The following is a 15,865-nucleotide window of genomic DNA, read 5'->3' as shown; positions in this document are numbered from 1 at the left end:
GGTAGGCTCCGCCTTCTTCCGAATGGTCCTCGGAAGAAGACTCCGCCTCTTCCGAATGGTCCTCGGAAGAAGACTCCGCCTCTTCCGAAAGATTACGGAAGTCAGCCCTCGCCCCCTTCAGGAAGCTCTCCCGGAGGGGACTCCTCCCACCGCCGAGTTTTCCCGAGAATGAGGCCGCGCCCACTGACGCGCTGTGGTTCCAAAACGAGAAAGTACTGAAGGGTAAGAAGCATAGGTAGATTATTATATGAAATCCTCTGATTTCAGTTTTCTGGGCTTTAATACAGCAGCAAAATGTTCTCGGTCCTGAGTTCCAGAATTTTGGGAAAATAAAATTCTGTACTGCCTGGATTTCAGTATCGACTGCCATCATTATGCATTTCTGAGACCGCTAAAGGTTATTACAGAACTTTTTTTTTTGGCTTATATTTCACAGTGGATGGAAACTGTCTTAAACCTCAGAAACTCTGATGAAAGACCAAACCTGGGGATGGTTGCACAACTCTGAACATTTACTAATTTTAAAAAAACAGCCGGGCACGGTGGCTCATGCCTGTAATCCCAAACCTTTGGGAGGCCAAGGCGGGCAGATCACTTGAGGTCAGGAGTTCGAGACCAGCCTGGCCAGCATGGTGAAACCCCCATCTCTACTAAAAATACAAAGATTAGCCGGGCGTGGTGGCACACGCTACTTGGGAGGCTGAGACACGAGGATCGCTTGAGCCCAGGAGGTGGAGGTTGCAGTGAACCGAGATCGCGCCACTGCACTCCAGCCTGGGCAACAGAACAAGACTCCGTCTGAAAAAAAAAAAAAAAAAAAAATTTGGTTGTACACGTAAAACAGATGGATATTGTGGTATGCAAAGCTGTTTAAAAAAAAAAAAAAAAACAACTAATGAAAAGTGCCAAAGTTAATCAGTGTTGAATTTTTTTCATGAACCTCAAGTGCTTAGGGTTTCGTATGAGAGAGGCCAAACCGAAAGATCTGTGTATTCTGTAGGTCAAAGAACAACACACATGAAACTCCGAGCTTCTGGAGTCTTCCTTGGTATTTGGGAGAGTTGGTGTGATTCAGGTTAGTCAGACTACTGCCATGTTTGCATAAATTTCAACCTTCATTTTGGCTGTGGATAATTTCATCCGTTGGATTCTGTTTACAGATAGGATTAGTTCAAATGTATAAATTTGTGTTGGTGGTTTACCTGTAAAATGAGGGGGTTGAAAGTATTTTTCCACCTTTTGACATTCTGTTTTTTATTATTTTTTTAATCTCCGTGGATTCCAGACATTGTTTTTCTAGAAAAGTGGAAATAACATCATTTTAGAAGTCATTCATTCATTCGCTCATTCAAAAAGCACGTATTGAATTATTGAACATCTGTTACACCCCAGGCAGCCTCCTGGACACTGGGTCAATGCATTATTAGCTAGAGTTAGGAGACTTAATACCTGATTCTCCTTGATAGCTGTCTGTGTACCGTTGTGAAATCACCTACTCAGATGAGCCAGAACTTTGTCCTGTGCAAACTGGAATATGATATAATAATCTTACAGTCTATTGTGGAGACCAAGTCACCTAAGAAAATGTGAGAGCATTTTGTAAAATGCAGAATATTGTACATATATGAATAATTACTATAGCCTGAGTCCAAGAGTGCCTTAGTTTTAATCAGGAGCCTGCACTATTTGTAATTTAGAGACTTCTTTTTCTGGCATTTTATGACTTCTTCAGTCCCTTGGTCCTGTGTTCCAGGTGACTCGTAGTGAGAAAAATTAGTTGTTAATCTTTTTTTTTTTTTGATACAGAGTCTCACTGTCGCTCAGGTTGGAGTGCAGTGGCACGATGCCGGCTCACTGCCACCTCCGTCTCCCGGGTTCAAGCGATTCTCCTGCCTCAGCCTCCGGAGTAGCTGGGATTACAGGCGTGCGCCACCACGCCCAGCTAATTTTGTATATTTAGTAGAGACGGGGTTTCACCATGTTAGCCAGGGTGATCTCGAACTCCCGACCTCAGGTAATCCGCCCGCCTCCGTCTCCCAAGGTGCCGGGATTACAGGCGTGAGCCACCGCGCCTGGCCCCCAAATTAGCTGTTAATCTAAACCACTGAATCTTAACCTCAGTTTTGAGTAGGATAACTCCATGGGCAGAGAAAGCTAAGTAGTGCCTTTAAATTTTTTTGCCAATAACTGACGCACTAACGTTGTGGCTTCACTCTGCCCTAAAATGGGATGGCGCATAGTGTTAGGCGCATGCTCCTTGATGCACTGCGGCGCGGCGCTCCGAGGCTCGGGGACGCGCACGCAATTCGCTGTTGTTGGCTGACTTCCGGTGGTGCCAAAGCCGTTTCCGTGGAATCAGGCCGGCTGGTGAGGGTACAGGTTTGTGTGTGGTGGGGTGGGAAGAGGCAGGTGGGAGCTGGGACACCTGGACGAACGATGTCCAGGTTGAGAAGGTCGGGTCTGAGGGTGGGCGCTGGGTGCGTGGCGGAAGTTAAGGGCGTGAAGTCCAGTGTCTAGTTGGGAATGGGGACTGGAGCCAGCCCTGGGCACCGAGGTGGAAGCGCGGTTAGGACCCCTTTTGAAAATGTTTTCCTAGGAGAGGGCCGTGCCGGGGCTGCCTCCACATTGGCATTCATTCACCCTGCTGGTCCGACTTGGGTTCCCAAAAAAGTGGATTCTGTCGAGCTACTGCTGTGTTTGAGGTGCCTGGAGCTGAAGTAGCTGTCTTTCTTTCCTTCTTTTTCTTTCTTTCTTTTTCTTTTTTTCCCCTTTTTTTGATCTCAGTAATTATCTGTGAAATAAAAGAGCTGCCCTGGCTACTCCCATTCTATTTCTTATAAGGTCACCACCATCTCTCACAGGAATCAACGAAATCTTCATGTTTTATTGAGCTTTAGTTACTGAGTTTTAATTACATCAGTTGATTGAGGGGATGGAGAATCTCCCCTAATGTCTTGGAGAAACAGAAGGGAGGTTTAAAACTAACTGTAGGTCGGGCGCGGTGGCTCACGCCTCTAATCCTAGCACTTTGGGAGGCTGGGGCGGGAGGATCGCTTGAGGCCAGGAGTTTGAGACCAGCCTGGGTAACAAATCGAGACCCCGTCTCTACAAAAAAAAAAAAAGAAAAAAAGTCGTTGAGGGTGGTGGCAAGTGCCTTGTAGTCCTAGCTACTCGGGAGGCCGAGGCCAGAGGGTCACTGGAGCCCAGGAGTCTGAGGCTGCAGTGAACTAGGATCTTGCCACTGCACTCCGGTCTGGGCAACAGAGCGAGACCTTGTCTCTGGAAAGAAAGAGAGAGAGAGAGAAAGAAAGAAAAGAAGAAAGAGAAATCTAACCTTAGACGCTTAGAGTTACAAATAACTTTTATTTTTCAGTTCTCTAGTTCAGGCTTTCATCTAGTACTCTGATAAGTGGACATTCAGGCTTCGCTTGAACATTGCCAGTGATCTAACACAAGGCGGCTTATTCTATTATTGGATCTATTTATGACAGTAAAGTTTTCCTGGGTAATAAGATGCCTTTTTTTTTTTTTTTTTTTTTTTTTTTTGACAGAGTCTCCCTCTGTTGCCCAGGGTGGAGTGCAGTGGCATGATCTTGGCCCACTGCAACCTCCACCTCCCGGGTTCAAGCGATTCTCCTGCCTCAGCCTCCCAAGAAGCTGGGACTACAGGTGCCCACCACCATGCCCGGCTAATTTTTGTATTTTTTAGTAGAGACAGCGTTTCACCATATTGACCAGGCTGGTCTCGAACTCCTGACCTTGTTATCCGCCCGCCTTGGCCTCCCAGAGTGTTGGGATTACAGGCGTGAGCCACTGCACCAAGCCACTATCAGTTTTTATATAATGCTTAACATTTGGCCCAAATGCTGCACAGAATAAGTTGTTTAACCTCTGTTTCATTTATTATTCAGGGAGCATTCATTGAGTATCTACAATATTCAGTGACACATTGAGTATCAATACTCAGTGATACATTGAGTATCTACAATACCCAAATACTGAACTGGTGCAGTGGCTTGGATGGGACCGTAATCCCAATGACTTGGGAGGCTGAGGTGGGAGCATTGCTTGAGCCCAGGAGGTCGAGGCTGCAGCGAACTATGTTCGTGCCACTGCAGTGCAGCCTGGGTGACAGAGCAAGACCTTGTTTCAAAAAAAAAAACCCAGATACTGCTGGATATTAGGGATATGAGTTGAAATAATCCCATTTCTCGAAAAGCTGATAGTTTTGGAGGAAGGAGATGAGAAAGAGAAAGATGAGAGACCATTACAAAACTGATAAGTACCGTAAAAGAGGTTTACAAACAGATACTAAAAGAACATAGAGGATACCCTCTGGTTTAGGTCAGTAATGCCCTTAAAATGTGATAACTAGAATTGAAGCAAAAAGCCAAGAAGTAACATAGCGCAGAGGATAGTAGGACTCTTATCTTCCTTGTTTCGACACAAAGTTTGTTGTTAATGTAGCCTAACCTTTTTTTTTTTTTTTGAGATGGAGTTTCGCTCTTGTTGCCCAGGCTGGAGTGCAATGGGGAGTGATCTCGGCTCACTGCAACCTCTGTCTCCGGGTTCAAGTGATTGTCCTGCCTCAGCCTCTGGAGTAGCTGGGATCACAGGCGTGTGCCACCACGCCCGGCTAATTTTGTATTTTTAGTAGAGACAGGGTTTCTCCATGTTGATCAGGCTGGTCTCGAACTCCTGACCTCAGGTAATCTGCCCACCTTGGCCTCCCAAAGTGTTGGGATTACGGACGTGAGCCATCTCGTGCCCAGCCAACATAGCCTAACCTTTTAAACAATCACACTTTGCTTTTGATTTGTTTCTATTAATGGAAATACCTGTTTATGAAAACAGCAATAGCAAACATGTATTGATCATTTACCATCTAATGAAGTAGATGCTATTATATTCCATTTTATAGCTGAAGACACTGAGATTCAGGTTGAGTAACTTCCACAAGGTCATAAAGCTGGAGAGAAGGTGACTTGGGAAACATCCAGACAGTCTGATTCCACAGTTTACTCTCAGCATCATGCTAGTCTACCACCCTGATGGTAATAATAACAATGTTTGCTGGACGCGGTGGCTCACGCCTGTAATCCCAGCACTTTGGGAGGCCGAGGCGGGTGGATCTCAAGGTCAGGAGTTCGAGACCATCCTGGCTAACACGGTGAAACCCCATCTCTACTAAAAATACAAAAAAAATTAGCCAGGCGTAGGTGGTGCACGCCTGTAGTCCCAGCTATTCAGGAGGCTGAGGCAGGAGAATGGCGTAAAACGCGAGAGGCGGAGGTTGCAGTGAACCGAGATTGCGCCACTGTACTCCAGCCTGGGAGACAGAGTGAGACTCTGTCTCAAAAACAAAAACAAAAACAAAAAAACACAAAAATAAACCCACAGTGTTTATTAATCACTTACTCTTTAATTGTAACAATTCTATGAAGTAAGAGCAATTATTTTTTACTGTTGAGGGTACTGAAGACTTGCGAGGTTAAATCACTTGGCCTAGGTAACAGTAGTCCATCAGTAGTAATCAGTAGAGTTGAGATTTGAACTCAGTCACTTAACCACTGTCTCTCAACTTCCACCTAAAGGGAAATTGTGCATTTGGTGTGAAGTATTGTGTTCATGATCGAACATGAATAAATGAAAAGATAATTGAGTAAATGTTATTACTTTTAATTAATATGAAGGCAGTAAGAACTTTTTATTCTTTCAGAATGGAACAAAAGTGGGACTTTTAAAATGTTGCCCTGTAAGAAGAGAAGAACTACAGTGACAGAGTCCCTACAGCATAAAGGCAATCAAGAGGAAAACAACGTAGACCTAGAATCAGCCGTTAAACCAGAATCTGACCAGGTTAAGGACTTGAGTTCGGTGTCACTATCCTGGGATCCAAGTCATGGCAGAGTAGCTGGCTTCGAAGTACAGTCTTTGCAGGATGCAGGAAATCAGCTTGGTATGGAGGATACATCTCTGAGCTCTGGAATGCTCACCCAGAACACAAATGTACCAATTCTAGAAGGTGTTGATGTGGCCATCTCTCAGGGAATCACCCTACCTTCCTTGGAGTCTTTTCACCCCCTTAATATACACATTGGTAAAGGAAAACTCCACGCTACTGGCTCAAAGAGAGGGAAAAAAATGACACTCAGGCCTGGGCCAGTTACCCAAGAAGACAGATGTGATCATCTTACCCTAAAGGAGCCTTTTTCAGGAGAGCCTAGTGAAGAAGTCAAGGAAGAAGGAGGTAAGGTATACAAGGTCTCTAGGTTACATTCTTGTCAATACCACTTTGCCATTGCTATTTCTGGATACCTTTACAGAGTAGTATTTCTGAAAGGGGATATTGATTTGGTACGGAATTGGAACTGCTGTGTTGCTAAGGGTCAACAGTGAACTTTTTTTTTTTCTTGAGACGGAGTCTTGCCATGTCACCAGACTAGAGTGCAATGGTGGGATCTTGACTCACTGCAGCCTCCACCTCCTGGGTTCAAGCGATTCTCCTGCCTCAGTCTCTCAAGTATCTAGGATTACAGGCATGCGCCACCACGCCAGGCTAATTTTGTATTTTTACCAGAGACGGGGTTTCACCATGTTGGTCAAGCTGGTCTCGAACTCCTGACCTCAGGTGATACGTTTGCCTTGGCCTCCCAAAGTGCTGGGATTACAGGTGTGAGCCACCGTGCCTGGCCAGCAGTGAACTTTATGAATGGATATAGACTTTCTTTTCCCCTCCCATTCGCTATATCCACTTCTGTACCCCTTTCTTCTTTCTTTTTTGAGACGGAGTCTCGCTCTGTCACCCAGGCCAGGGTGCAGTGGCGTGGTCTCGGCTCACTGCAAGCTCCGCCTCCCAGGTTCACGCCATTCTCCTGCCTCAGCCTCCCGAGTAGCTGGGACTACAGGCACCCACCACCATGCCCGGCCAATTTTTTTTGTATTTTTAGTAGAGGCGGGGTTTCACTGTGTTAGCCAGGATGGTCTCAGTCTCCTGACCTCGTGATCCGCCCGCCTTGGCCTCCCAAAGTGCTGGATTACAAGCGTGAGCCACTGCACCCAGCCATTGTATCCCTTTCATTCCATTCTCTCATCCTTTATTTGGTGTGTCTGGAGATGTGTATGGTCTTTTGTGATTGGGCAGCAGCTTAAAGGGGGAGACTACTGCCTGGGACACTGGGAAAGGCTCTACTGAGATGAATGACCCTTCCAATTTGAAAGATGAATTGCGGTTTAACAGAAAGTGGTATGGGCACATAGGCCAAGAACAGTGCACAGAGATAGACTGGCAGAAAAGGATGGTGACATGGTTGCTTGGAACAGGTGGTGGGAGATGACTTCTTTTTTTTTTTTTTTTTTTTTTGTGACAGTCTCGCTCTGTTGCCCAGGCTGGAGTGCAGTGGTGTGATCTTGGCTCACTGCAACCTCCACCTCCCATGTTCAAGTGATTCCCCTGCTTCAGCCTCGCGAGTAGCTGGGATTACAGGTGCCTGCCACCACGTCCAGCTAATTTTTTTATTTTTATTAGAGAGGAGGTTTCCCCATGTTGGCCAGGCTGGTCTCAAACTCCTGACCTCAGGTGATCCACGTACCTTGGCCTCCCAAAGTGCTGGGATTACAGGCGTGAGCCACCACGCCCTGCCAAGATGACTTTAGAGTAGTAGATTGTACTAAGGTTGTGAAAGGTTTTGTTTTTCATACCAAGGCATTTGAGCTTTTCCTGTAGGTAGGTGATAGTCATTTAAACGTCTAAGTAGAACACATTTATGCTTTAGAAAAGATACCAACTTCTCTTATTCATTTTTTTTTTGATACGGAGTCTCGCTTTGTCGCCCAGGCTGGAGTACAGTGGCGTGATCTCAGCTCACTGCAACCTCCACCTCCCCTGTTCAAGTGATTCTCCTGCCTCAGCCTCCTGAGTAGCTGGTATTACAGGCGCCCGCCACCGTGCTCAGCTAATTTTTGTATTTTTAGTGGAGATGGGGTTTCACCAGGTTAGCCAGCTTGGTCCTGAACTCCTGACCTCAGGTAACCCACCTGCCTCAGCCTCCCAAAGTGCTGGGATTACAGGCGTGAGCCACTGCGCCCGGCCTAGATTGTGAAGGTTTTTGTTTTTCATACTAAGGCATTTGAGCTTTTCCTGTAGGTAGGTGATAGTCATTTTTTTTTTTTGAGACGTAGTCTGGCTCTGTCGCCCAGGCTGGAGTGCAGTGGCGCAGTCTTGGCTCACTGCAAGCTCTGCCTCCTGGGTTCATGCCATTCTCCTGCCTCAGCCTCCCGAGTAGCTGGGACTACAGGTGTCTGCCACCATGCCCAGCTAATTTTTTGTATTTTTAGTAGAGACGGGGTTTTACCGTGTTAGCCAGGATAGTGTCAATTTCATGACCTCGTGATCCACCTGCCTCGTCCTCCCAAAGTGCTGGGATTACAGGCGTGTGCCACCGCGCCCGGCCCTTTTTTTTTTTTTTTTTTTGAGGTGGAGTCTCGCTCTGTTGCCAGGCTGGAGTGCAGTGGCACGATCTCATCTCACTGCAACCTCCGCCTCCCAGGTTCAAGCAATTCTGCCTCAGCCTCCCAAGTAGCTAGGACTACAGGCACACGCTGCCACGCTCAGCTAATTTTTTTTTTTTTTGTATTTTAGTTGAGACAGGGTTTCACCATGCTGGCCACGCTGGTCTCGAACTCCTGACCTCGTGATCCACCGACCTCGGCCTCCCAAAGTGCTAGGATTACAGGCGTGAACCACTGCACCCGGCCTATTCATTCATTTTGACTGTTAAGATGTTTTCTTTTTTGCCGCATTTTAAGTCCACTTGTTCTTATTTTGTCCTACTGGTACATTCTCAGTATGTGGTTTTTTATTGTGTCTTGTGTGTGTTTATATTGAAGAATTTCATGTTTCTGACTCTGCTGTATTTGAAAACTGATGGAGTGCCCAAGATGAGGGAGTTTAGCAATAATCTTGATGGTATACTGTGTTGGTCACGCCCTCTCTGGCATGAGCTGCCTGAAGCACATTGTCAAAGATGAAAGCTCTTTTGGGGAAAAGTGCTCTCCTGTGGAATCATCCCTTGTCATAGCATGTGGCTCTAAATTTTCAGCCTCATTCACAGTAGCTTGCATTGTTGTATTGCTTTTGGGACACCTGTGTTTTATCTGGAAATGTAGACAGGAATAGCGGTTTTTTTTGTATGTGTATTATATATTGTTTCACTGCTAATCTTCTACACAATTTTTTAGAATAAAAAAGGGTAAATAGCTTGTGCCATTTTGCTAATTACATAGATTTGACTTTTGATCACATAAATAAAAAATAAAACAAGGCAGGACATTGTCCTGCACATAGTTGATGTGGACAAATACTTTTTATTACTTTGAAATTCTTATTTTGATAGTTTTCCACTTAATGAGGCAAGTGCTTAAGCCTCAGTCTTTTTGAGTTCTCATTATTTAGACATAAGGAAAGGAGAAATGAAGGTTTTTCTTTATTCTCCCCATGCCTTTCCTTTTTTTCTCTTTTATTCTTTTTTTTTTTTTTTAAGAGCAGAATATACTAGATCAGGACAAATTAAGGTGATACTGGAATTTAGGTGTTTTTACTGGAAAAAAGGCATTTCCTTTGAGATAGTTTAAAGAAAATAGTAAGGAGATAAGAATCAGTTCAACTACTAATTCAGGAAGCCGGGAGAGATGTACATTCAAAGCATAGGACAGAATCAAGTTTTCTTTCTTTTTTTTTTTTTTTTTTTTTTGAGACGGAGTCTCGTTCTGTTGCCCAGGCTGGAGGGCAGTGGTGCGATCTTGACTCACTGCAACCTCCGCCTCATGGGTTCAAGCAATTCTCCTGCCGTAGCCTCCCGAGTAGCTGGGATTACAGGCACCCACCACCACACCCGGCTAATTTTTGTATTTTTAGTAGAGACGGGGTTTCACCATGTTGGTCAGGCTGGTTTTGAACTACCTTTTTTTTTTTTTTTTTTTTGAGACAGAGTCTTTCTCTGTCAGCCAGGTTGGAGTGCAGTGGCACAATCTCGGCTCATTGCAAGCTTCACCTCCTGGGTTCACGCCATTCTCCTGCCTCAGCCTCCCGAGTAGCTGGGACTACAGGCGCCCGCCACCACGCTTGGCTAATTTTTTGTATTTTTAGTAGAGGCAGGGTTTCACCATGTTAGTCAGGATGGTCTCGATCTCCTAACGTCGTGATCTGCCTGCCTCGGCCTCCCAAGTGCTGGGATTACAGGTGTGAGCCACCGTGCCCAGCCCTGCTGGTTTTGAATTTCTGACCTCAAATGACCACCCGCCTCAGCCTCCCAAAGTGCTGGGATTACAGGCGTGAGCCACAGTGCCCAGCCCCTTTTTTTTTTTTTTTTTTTTTTTTTTTTGAGATGGAGTCTCTGTTGTTTAGGCTGGAGGGCAGTGGCATGATTTTGGCTCACTGCAACCTCTGCTTCCCGGGTTCAAGCGATTCTCCTGCCTCAGCCTCCCAAGTAGCTGGGATTACAGGTGTGCATCACCAGGCCTAGCTAATTTTTTGTATCTTAGTAGAGATGGGATCTCATCAGGTTGGCCAGCCTGGTCTCGAACTCCTGACTTCAGGTGATCCGCCTGCCTCGGCCTCCCAAAGTGCTGGGATTACAGGCGTGAGCCACCGCGCCCGACCTACAATTCCGTAGTTTTAGTAAACCATTGCAGTAACCTACAAAACACATTTTGATGTTTAACTTTTATCTCTCAGATTTTTTTTTGTCTGAAAATGACAAAGAAATCCTTTGTTCTGAGTTTTGGTTTAAAACATAATCTCTATCTGTGTGACATTTAAAAGAAGCAGAAGACATAGTTCTAACCTCAGGAAGTTTAGAATCTTAATTGGGAAAACAACCATAAATATATACTTTTTGGAATTGGAGCTTGAAGGATTCACAGGATTTGATAGATTGTGAGGGAAGAAGTGGAAGTAGAATAACATATTCTGCAAACATGTAGAAATGCTGTGTTTGTGTGGGAAAGTACTAAGGCTTCAGGTAGAAAGAGTAGATCCAGATTATGGAGAGCCTTGAAGCTTTCCCCTTAAGACCTTAAGATTTAGAATAGGATGCTGGCAGTAAGGGTAGAGAAGAATGGGTACACCATAGACACATTACAAAGAAATGATTAACACTGCTCAGAGACTGACATGTAAGATATCTGGGGTAGGGGATGGTGATGCATGCCTTCATAGGGAAGGTATTTGAGAGTTTGAATATGAGTTCAGATTTGGGTATGAGTTATGCAGGTGAACCCCAAAATTGGGGCTCAGCCCAGGGGGGTTCTTGGCTTTGTGCAAGATTCATTTGCAAGCCAATAGAGAAAAAGGAAAGCAAGTTTATTAGAGCAGCAGAGTACAGGAAATGGCTGCCCCATAGACACAGCAATAGCAGCAGCCCTTGTGAATAGATAGCTATTCCTTGATTATATACTAAATAAGGGCAGGTTATTCATCAATTTTCTAGAAAAGGGGCAGGGAGTTCCCAGAACCAAGAGATCCTCCCATTTTAAACCATATAAGGTAACTTCTAGGGGTTGCCATGGCATTTGTAAACTGTCATGGCAGTGGTGGGACTTTTCTTCTTTGTATGTATGTATGTATATATTTATTTATTGTTTATTTATTTTGAGACAGAGTCTCACTCTGTTCCCCAGGCTGGAGTGTAGTGGCACGATCTTGGCTCACCGCAACCCCCGCCTCCTGGGTTCAAGGGATTCTCCTACCCCAGCCTTTCGAGTACCTGGGACTACAGGCATGCACCACCACACTCAGCTAATTTTTTTTGTTTTTTGTTGTTTTGAGATGGAGTCTCGCTCTGTTGCCCAGGCTGGAGTGCAGTGGCGCCATCTCAGTTCACTGCAACCACCACCTCCTGGGTTCAAGCGATTCTCCTGCCCCAGCTTCCTGAGTAGCTGGGGTTATAGGTACCCGCTACCATGCCTGGCTAATTTTTGTATTTTTAGTAGAGACGGGGTTTCACCATGTTGGTCAGGCTGGTCTCAAACTCCTGACCTCATGATCTGCCCTCCTCAGCCTCTTAAAGTGCTGGAATTACAGGCTTGAGTCACTGCACCTGGCTTTTTTTGTATTTTTAATTGAGATGCGTTTTTGCCATGTTGGCCAGGCTGGTCTTGAACTCCTGACCTCAGGTGATCATCTGCCCGCCTCAGCCTCCCAAAGTGCTGGGATTACAGGCATGAGCCACCATGCCCAGCCTGTTTTTATTTTTTAAAACCAATCCATTTAATTGTGTCTTTCAAGGTAAACAATTTATGGAGCCTGGATCCCAAGCCTGAGAGTGCTAGAGCTATGGGTCCAAAACTTGTGGTATTCTGAGTTCAGAAGGGTTCGAACTCACGGTGTTCAACTCACGGAGTCAGAGAACATGCGGAATTTGTGTATTCCATTTAGCAATTTTGTAAATTACCAGAAACAGACTGAAAGAGTCTTTCAAGATGGGGAAAATTCAACTCCTGTGTTTTTTTTGTTTTTTTGTTTTTGAGACAGAGTTTCACTCTTGTTTCCCAGGCCGTAGTGCAATGGCACAACCTCAATGGCCCCTGCTCGGTTGAAGCGATTCTTCTGCCTCAGCCTCCTGAGTAGCTGGGACTACAGCCGTGTGCCACCATGCCAAGCTAATTTTTGTATTTTTAGTAGAGATGGGGTTTCACCATGTTGGCCAGGCTGTCTCGAACTCCTGACCTCAAGTCATCCACCCACCTCGGCCTCCCAAAGTACTGGGATTACAGGCGTGAGCTACCGTGCCTGGCCCAGGACAGCTTTTTAACAAGCAGTTAAAGTGGAAAAGAACCCCCCAGTAGCACGCTGGTTTAGTTTATAAGATTTTAGTTTACAAATTAAAAAATCTATATGTTTTACATTTTCTCTTTATATCACTTTTTTCCTTTATCTTTCTCTTTGTCGTCTTTTGTATCCTTTTTTGCTCTCTTCTTTTTCCTATCTTTTTTTTTTTTTTTGGTGACAGAGTCTTGCTCTGTCACCCAGGCTGGAGTGCAGTGGCGCGATCTCGGCTCCCTGCAAGCTCCGCCTCCCGGGTTCACGCCATTCTCCTGCCTCAGCCTCCCGAGTAGCTAGGAATACAGGTGCCCGCCACCACACCCGGCTAATTTTTTTGTATTTTTAGTAGAGACGGGGTTTCACTGTGTTAGACAGGCTGGTCTCGATCTCCTGACCTTGTGATCCGCCCGCCTCGGCCTCCCAAAGTGCTGAGATTACAGGCGTGAGCCACCGCGCCTGGCCGGTTTCTTTTTCCTGTCTTTCTTCTCTGCATCCCAGTTGGCAATCTTGTTGATGAGGTTGTGTAGGGTGATCACAGAATGGATCAGCGAGGCCAAGTACACTGCTACCATTTGGTTATTGGTCTTCAGGTAAAAGGCCTTGACAAACTCCTATAGGCTAATGACTGGCAGCAGCTTGAAGACCTGCAGCTGATAGATGAATTGGTGGTTGGTGGACAGTTTGCCTGTGGCAACTTTTTCCAGGTAGCTTCTGGTACCCAGAAGCTTGGAGTTCAGTCCCTTCAAATCCAGGACCTGGTTTGTGATACACTGGGAAAGAGTGCCCACTGTAGTGTCTTTGATGTCTTGTAACAAGTGTTTAACTCCAATTTCCTTAGCTTCCTCTGCTGCAGTTTCACTGGTCACATGCTCAAATGTTTTCAAGGCTGAAGTTCCATCTTCATAGACTTCTACTGAAATATATGCTTCTGTAGGCAGCCCTAAGTCCTTTGGCTTCATGTCACTAGTGACCAATACTGAGTTACGGCAGTATCTTTTCATGATTTCATTGAAGGCAGTGTCATTCTTGTGTAGTTTAGGGCCTATGTGGTACCACTCAACTATTCTTTCCCTGGCATTCACCCTCTTAAACATTCTGTATGTGTTTTTCAAATAATCGTGGGCTAAAAAACAATTATCTTTGTCATCTTCATTAAAAGGGACTGTAAAACTGCTGGATACATCAAGTACTTTCATTTGCCATGACCGCAAAAGCACATGAAGAATGCATTTCTGGTTTCCAACCTTGCTGATTCTGTTGAAATGATCCACCACATTGAGCAGTACCTGGGGGTGGACTACCACCTTCTGCACCACCAGGTCCAGCCTCATGATACACTCTGGCCACCAGGCCTGGCTCCCTGTGACCCACTGGAGTTTCTTTTAGCATGCAAATTCATTATAATTAGTGTATAATAAGCAGTGAGAGCAACCGAATGTCACTTTTGTTGCCATCTTGGTTGTAACTGGTTTTGGCTGCTTTCTTTGCTGCATCCTGTTTTGATCAGGGTTTTGTTCTTGTTTTGTTCAGCAGGCTCTCTGGCCAGTGCTTGGAAAACAAATCCTGCTTCTCTCCTACCTCACTCCCCCCACAGAGATTATATACTCCCCTTCAATCTTACAGGGTTTTAGAAGGGTGGAAGTCCATCTTCTGTGACTGCTTCCTGTTGATTTTATGGGCATTGGCCCTGCCTAGCACTGGAGGAGTAAAAATCTCTTGATGCCTCATCTAAGGGGTCAGAACAAGGATGTGTTGGAAGCCACTTGCTAGCATTATCTTCACATGGAAATTGTTGCAATCTAGAAGACACACACTACAAGGAGGCTAAAAGAGGCAGGGCCAAAGATTCATAGTTACAAGATAGCTGCTAGAGGTCCTAAAAAGAGTAGAAACCAGGTGAGACTTGGGAGGGTTTTTTTTGTTGTTGTTATTTTTTGGGTTTTTTGAGACAGGATCTCGCTCTGTCACCCAGGCTGGAGTGCAGTGGTGTGATCATGGCCCACTGCAGCTTTAACCTCCCAGGCTCAAGTGATCCTCCTGCCTTAGCCTCCTGAGTAGCTGGGACCACATGTGTTTGCCAGCAACACCCAGCTGATTTTTAAATGTTTTTATAGAGACACAGTCTCACTATGTTGCCCGGGCTGGTCTTGACTCCTGAGCTCAAGTGATCCTCCCACTTTAGCCTCCCAAAGTACTGGTATTACAGGCGTGAGCCACTCTGCCTGGCCAGGAGGGTGTTTTTTATGGTCAACCAGATATAGTTGGGGTCAGTTCCCTGGTTATATATATGTAACCAGGTGGCTTGCTCTTAGAACTTTTGAATGTTAACCTCAGCCTGTCCAGAGTTGTTAATATATGTGCAGTCGGTCTTATTGATAACAGTGCAGACTCTACCTTTTTCAGTCAGTAAACAATCCAAGACTAGTCTGTTGTCAGGGCTACAATTGCCAAAGAGTCCAGAGATTCCTGAATTTTTCTTAATGTCTGACTAGTGTTGGTGGCCAGAGATTCTAGGGCCTGAGTTATGTTTCTTAGCATTGACTTGTGGTATGCAAAGCCCCTGCCAAGGGGCCACCACCCCTATTGCTGCCCCAATTCCTGTAAAAATTAATCCTATTGCTCTTTTACTTCTTGTTTTTCTAGATTTTATGGGGTTATGAATGGATACCCCCTGAAGGGATAATGGTGGCCAAAATACATTCACTGGTGTTTCAAGTTTTTGATAAGCAAAATGGAAAGCTATTCCTAGAAGAATAAATGGTTCCCTACAGGGTTGGGAGTGGGTATGGGGTAGGATTTCTTCCCCTAAAGGTGAGCCCAGATGGGTCACAAATTGAATCCTTGCAAGTTATGCCGTCCATTTTTTATTGCCAAACTGGGTCTATAGAGATACCTTTTCCAGGTTCCAATGGGGGTGATTGAGTAGCCCTCGTTTTCCACCAGAGGGTGGTACCTCCATCTTCCCAAATTAAGCAGTCGTTTCTCCCTTGCATGTATTGGTCCTGGAGGAGGCACCATGTATAGTCTCCTTGTTTACCAGTG

At 45.3% G+C, this 15,865-nt stretch overlaps 1 protein-coding gene and 1 pseudogene across 19 annotated transcripts in view, besides 3 other annotated features; one reads left to right on the top strand and one right to left on the bottom strand.

Annotated features, from left to right (window-relative positions):
- Positions 9-118: an enhancer, noted in NCBI's record as "active region_1821". NCBI's record gives its function as "activates an Ori minimal core promoter by ATAC-STARR-seq in GM12878 lymphoblastoid cells {active_cell/tissue: GM12878}" and the evidence as "EXISTENCE:reporter gene assay evidence [ECO:0000049][PMID:35858748]".
- GON4L (gon-4 like) overlaps positions 95-15,865 on the top strand; it is a 114,320-nt gene continuing 98,549 nt past the window's right edge. For 9 of the 19 annotated variants that reach the window (XM_047423301.1, XM_047423282.1, XM_047423291.1 and 6 more), the window contains exons 1-2: positions 2,312-2,379; positions 5,720-6,250. In XM_047423301.1, the coding sequence (XP_047279257.1) occupies positions 5,746-6,250 (505 nt within the window). In that variant the 5' untranslated portion in view covers positions 2,312-2,379; positions 5,720-5,745. Of the gene's footprint in view, positions 223-2,311; positions 2,703-5,719; positions 6,251-15,865 lie in introns of those variants that run through there. The other 10 variants (XM_047423299.1, XM_006711394.5, NM_001282856.2 and 7 more) reach the window with 4 other exon arrangements.
- Positions 1,359-1,946: an enhancer, noted in NCBI's record as "H3K4me1 hESC enhancer chr1:155827371-155827958 (GRCh37/hg19 assembly coordinates)". NCBI's record gives its function as "activates a minimal SCP1, AML or CMV promoter by ChIP-STARR-seq in primed H9 embryonic stem cells {active_cell/tissue: H9 hESC(primed)}" and the evidence as "EXISTENCE:reporter gene assay evidence [ECO:0000049][PMID:30033119]".
- Positions 2,233-2,432: an enhancer, noted in NCBI's record as "active region_1820". NCBI's record gives its function as "activates an Ori minimal core promoter by ATAC-STARR-seq in GM12878 lymphoblastoid cells {active_cell/tissue: GM12878}" and the evidence as "EXISTENCE:reporter gene assay evidence [ECO:0000049][PMID:35858748]".
- Positions 12,253-14,194, bottom strand: PSMD7P3 (PSMD7 pseudogene 3; annotated as a pseudogene).

Source organism: Homo sapiens, chromosome 1, assembly GCF_000001405.40.
Source record: "Homo sapiens chromosome 1, GRCh38.p14 Primary Assembly".
Lineage (NCBI taxonomy): Eukaryota > Metazoa > Chordata > Mammalia > Primates > Hominidae > Homo > Homo sapiens.
This window is presented reverse-complemented; position numbering and strand designations above follow the sequence as displayed.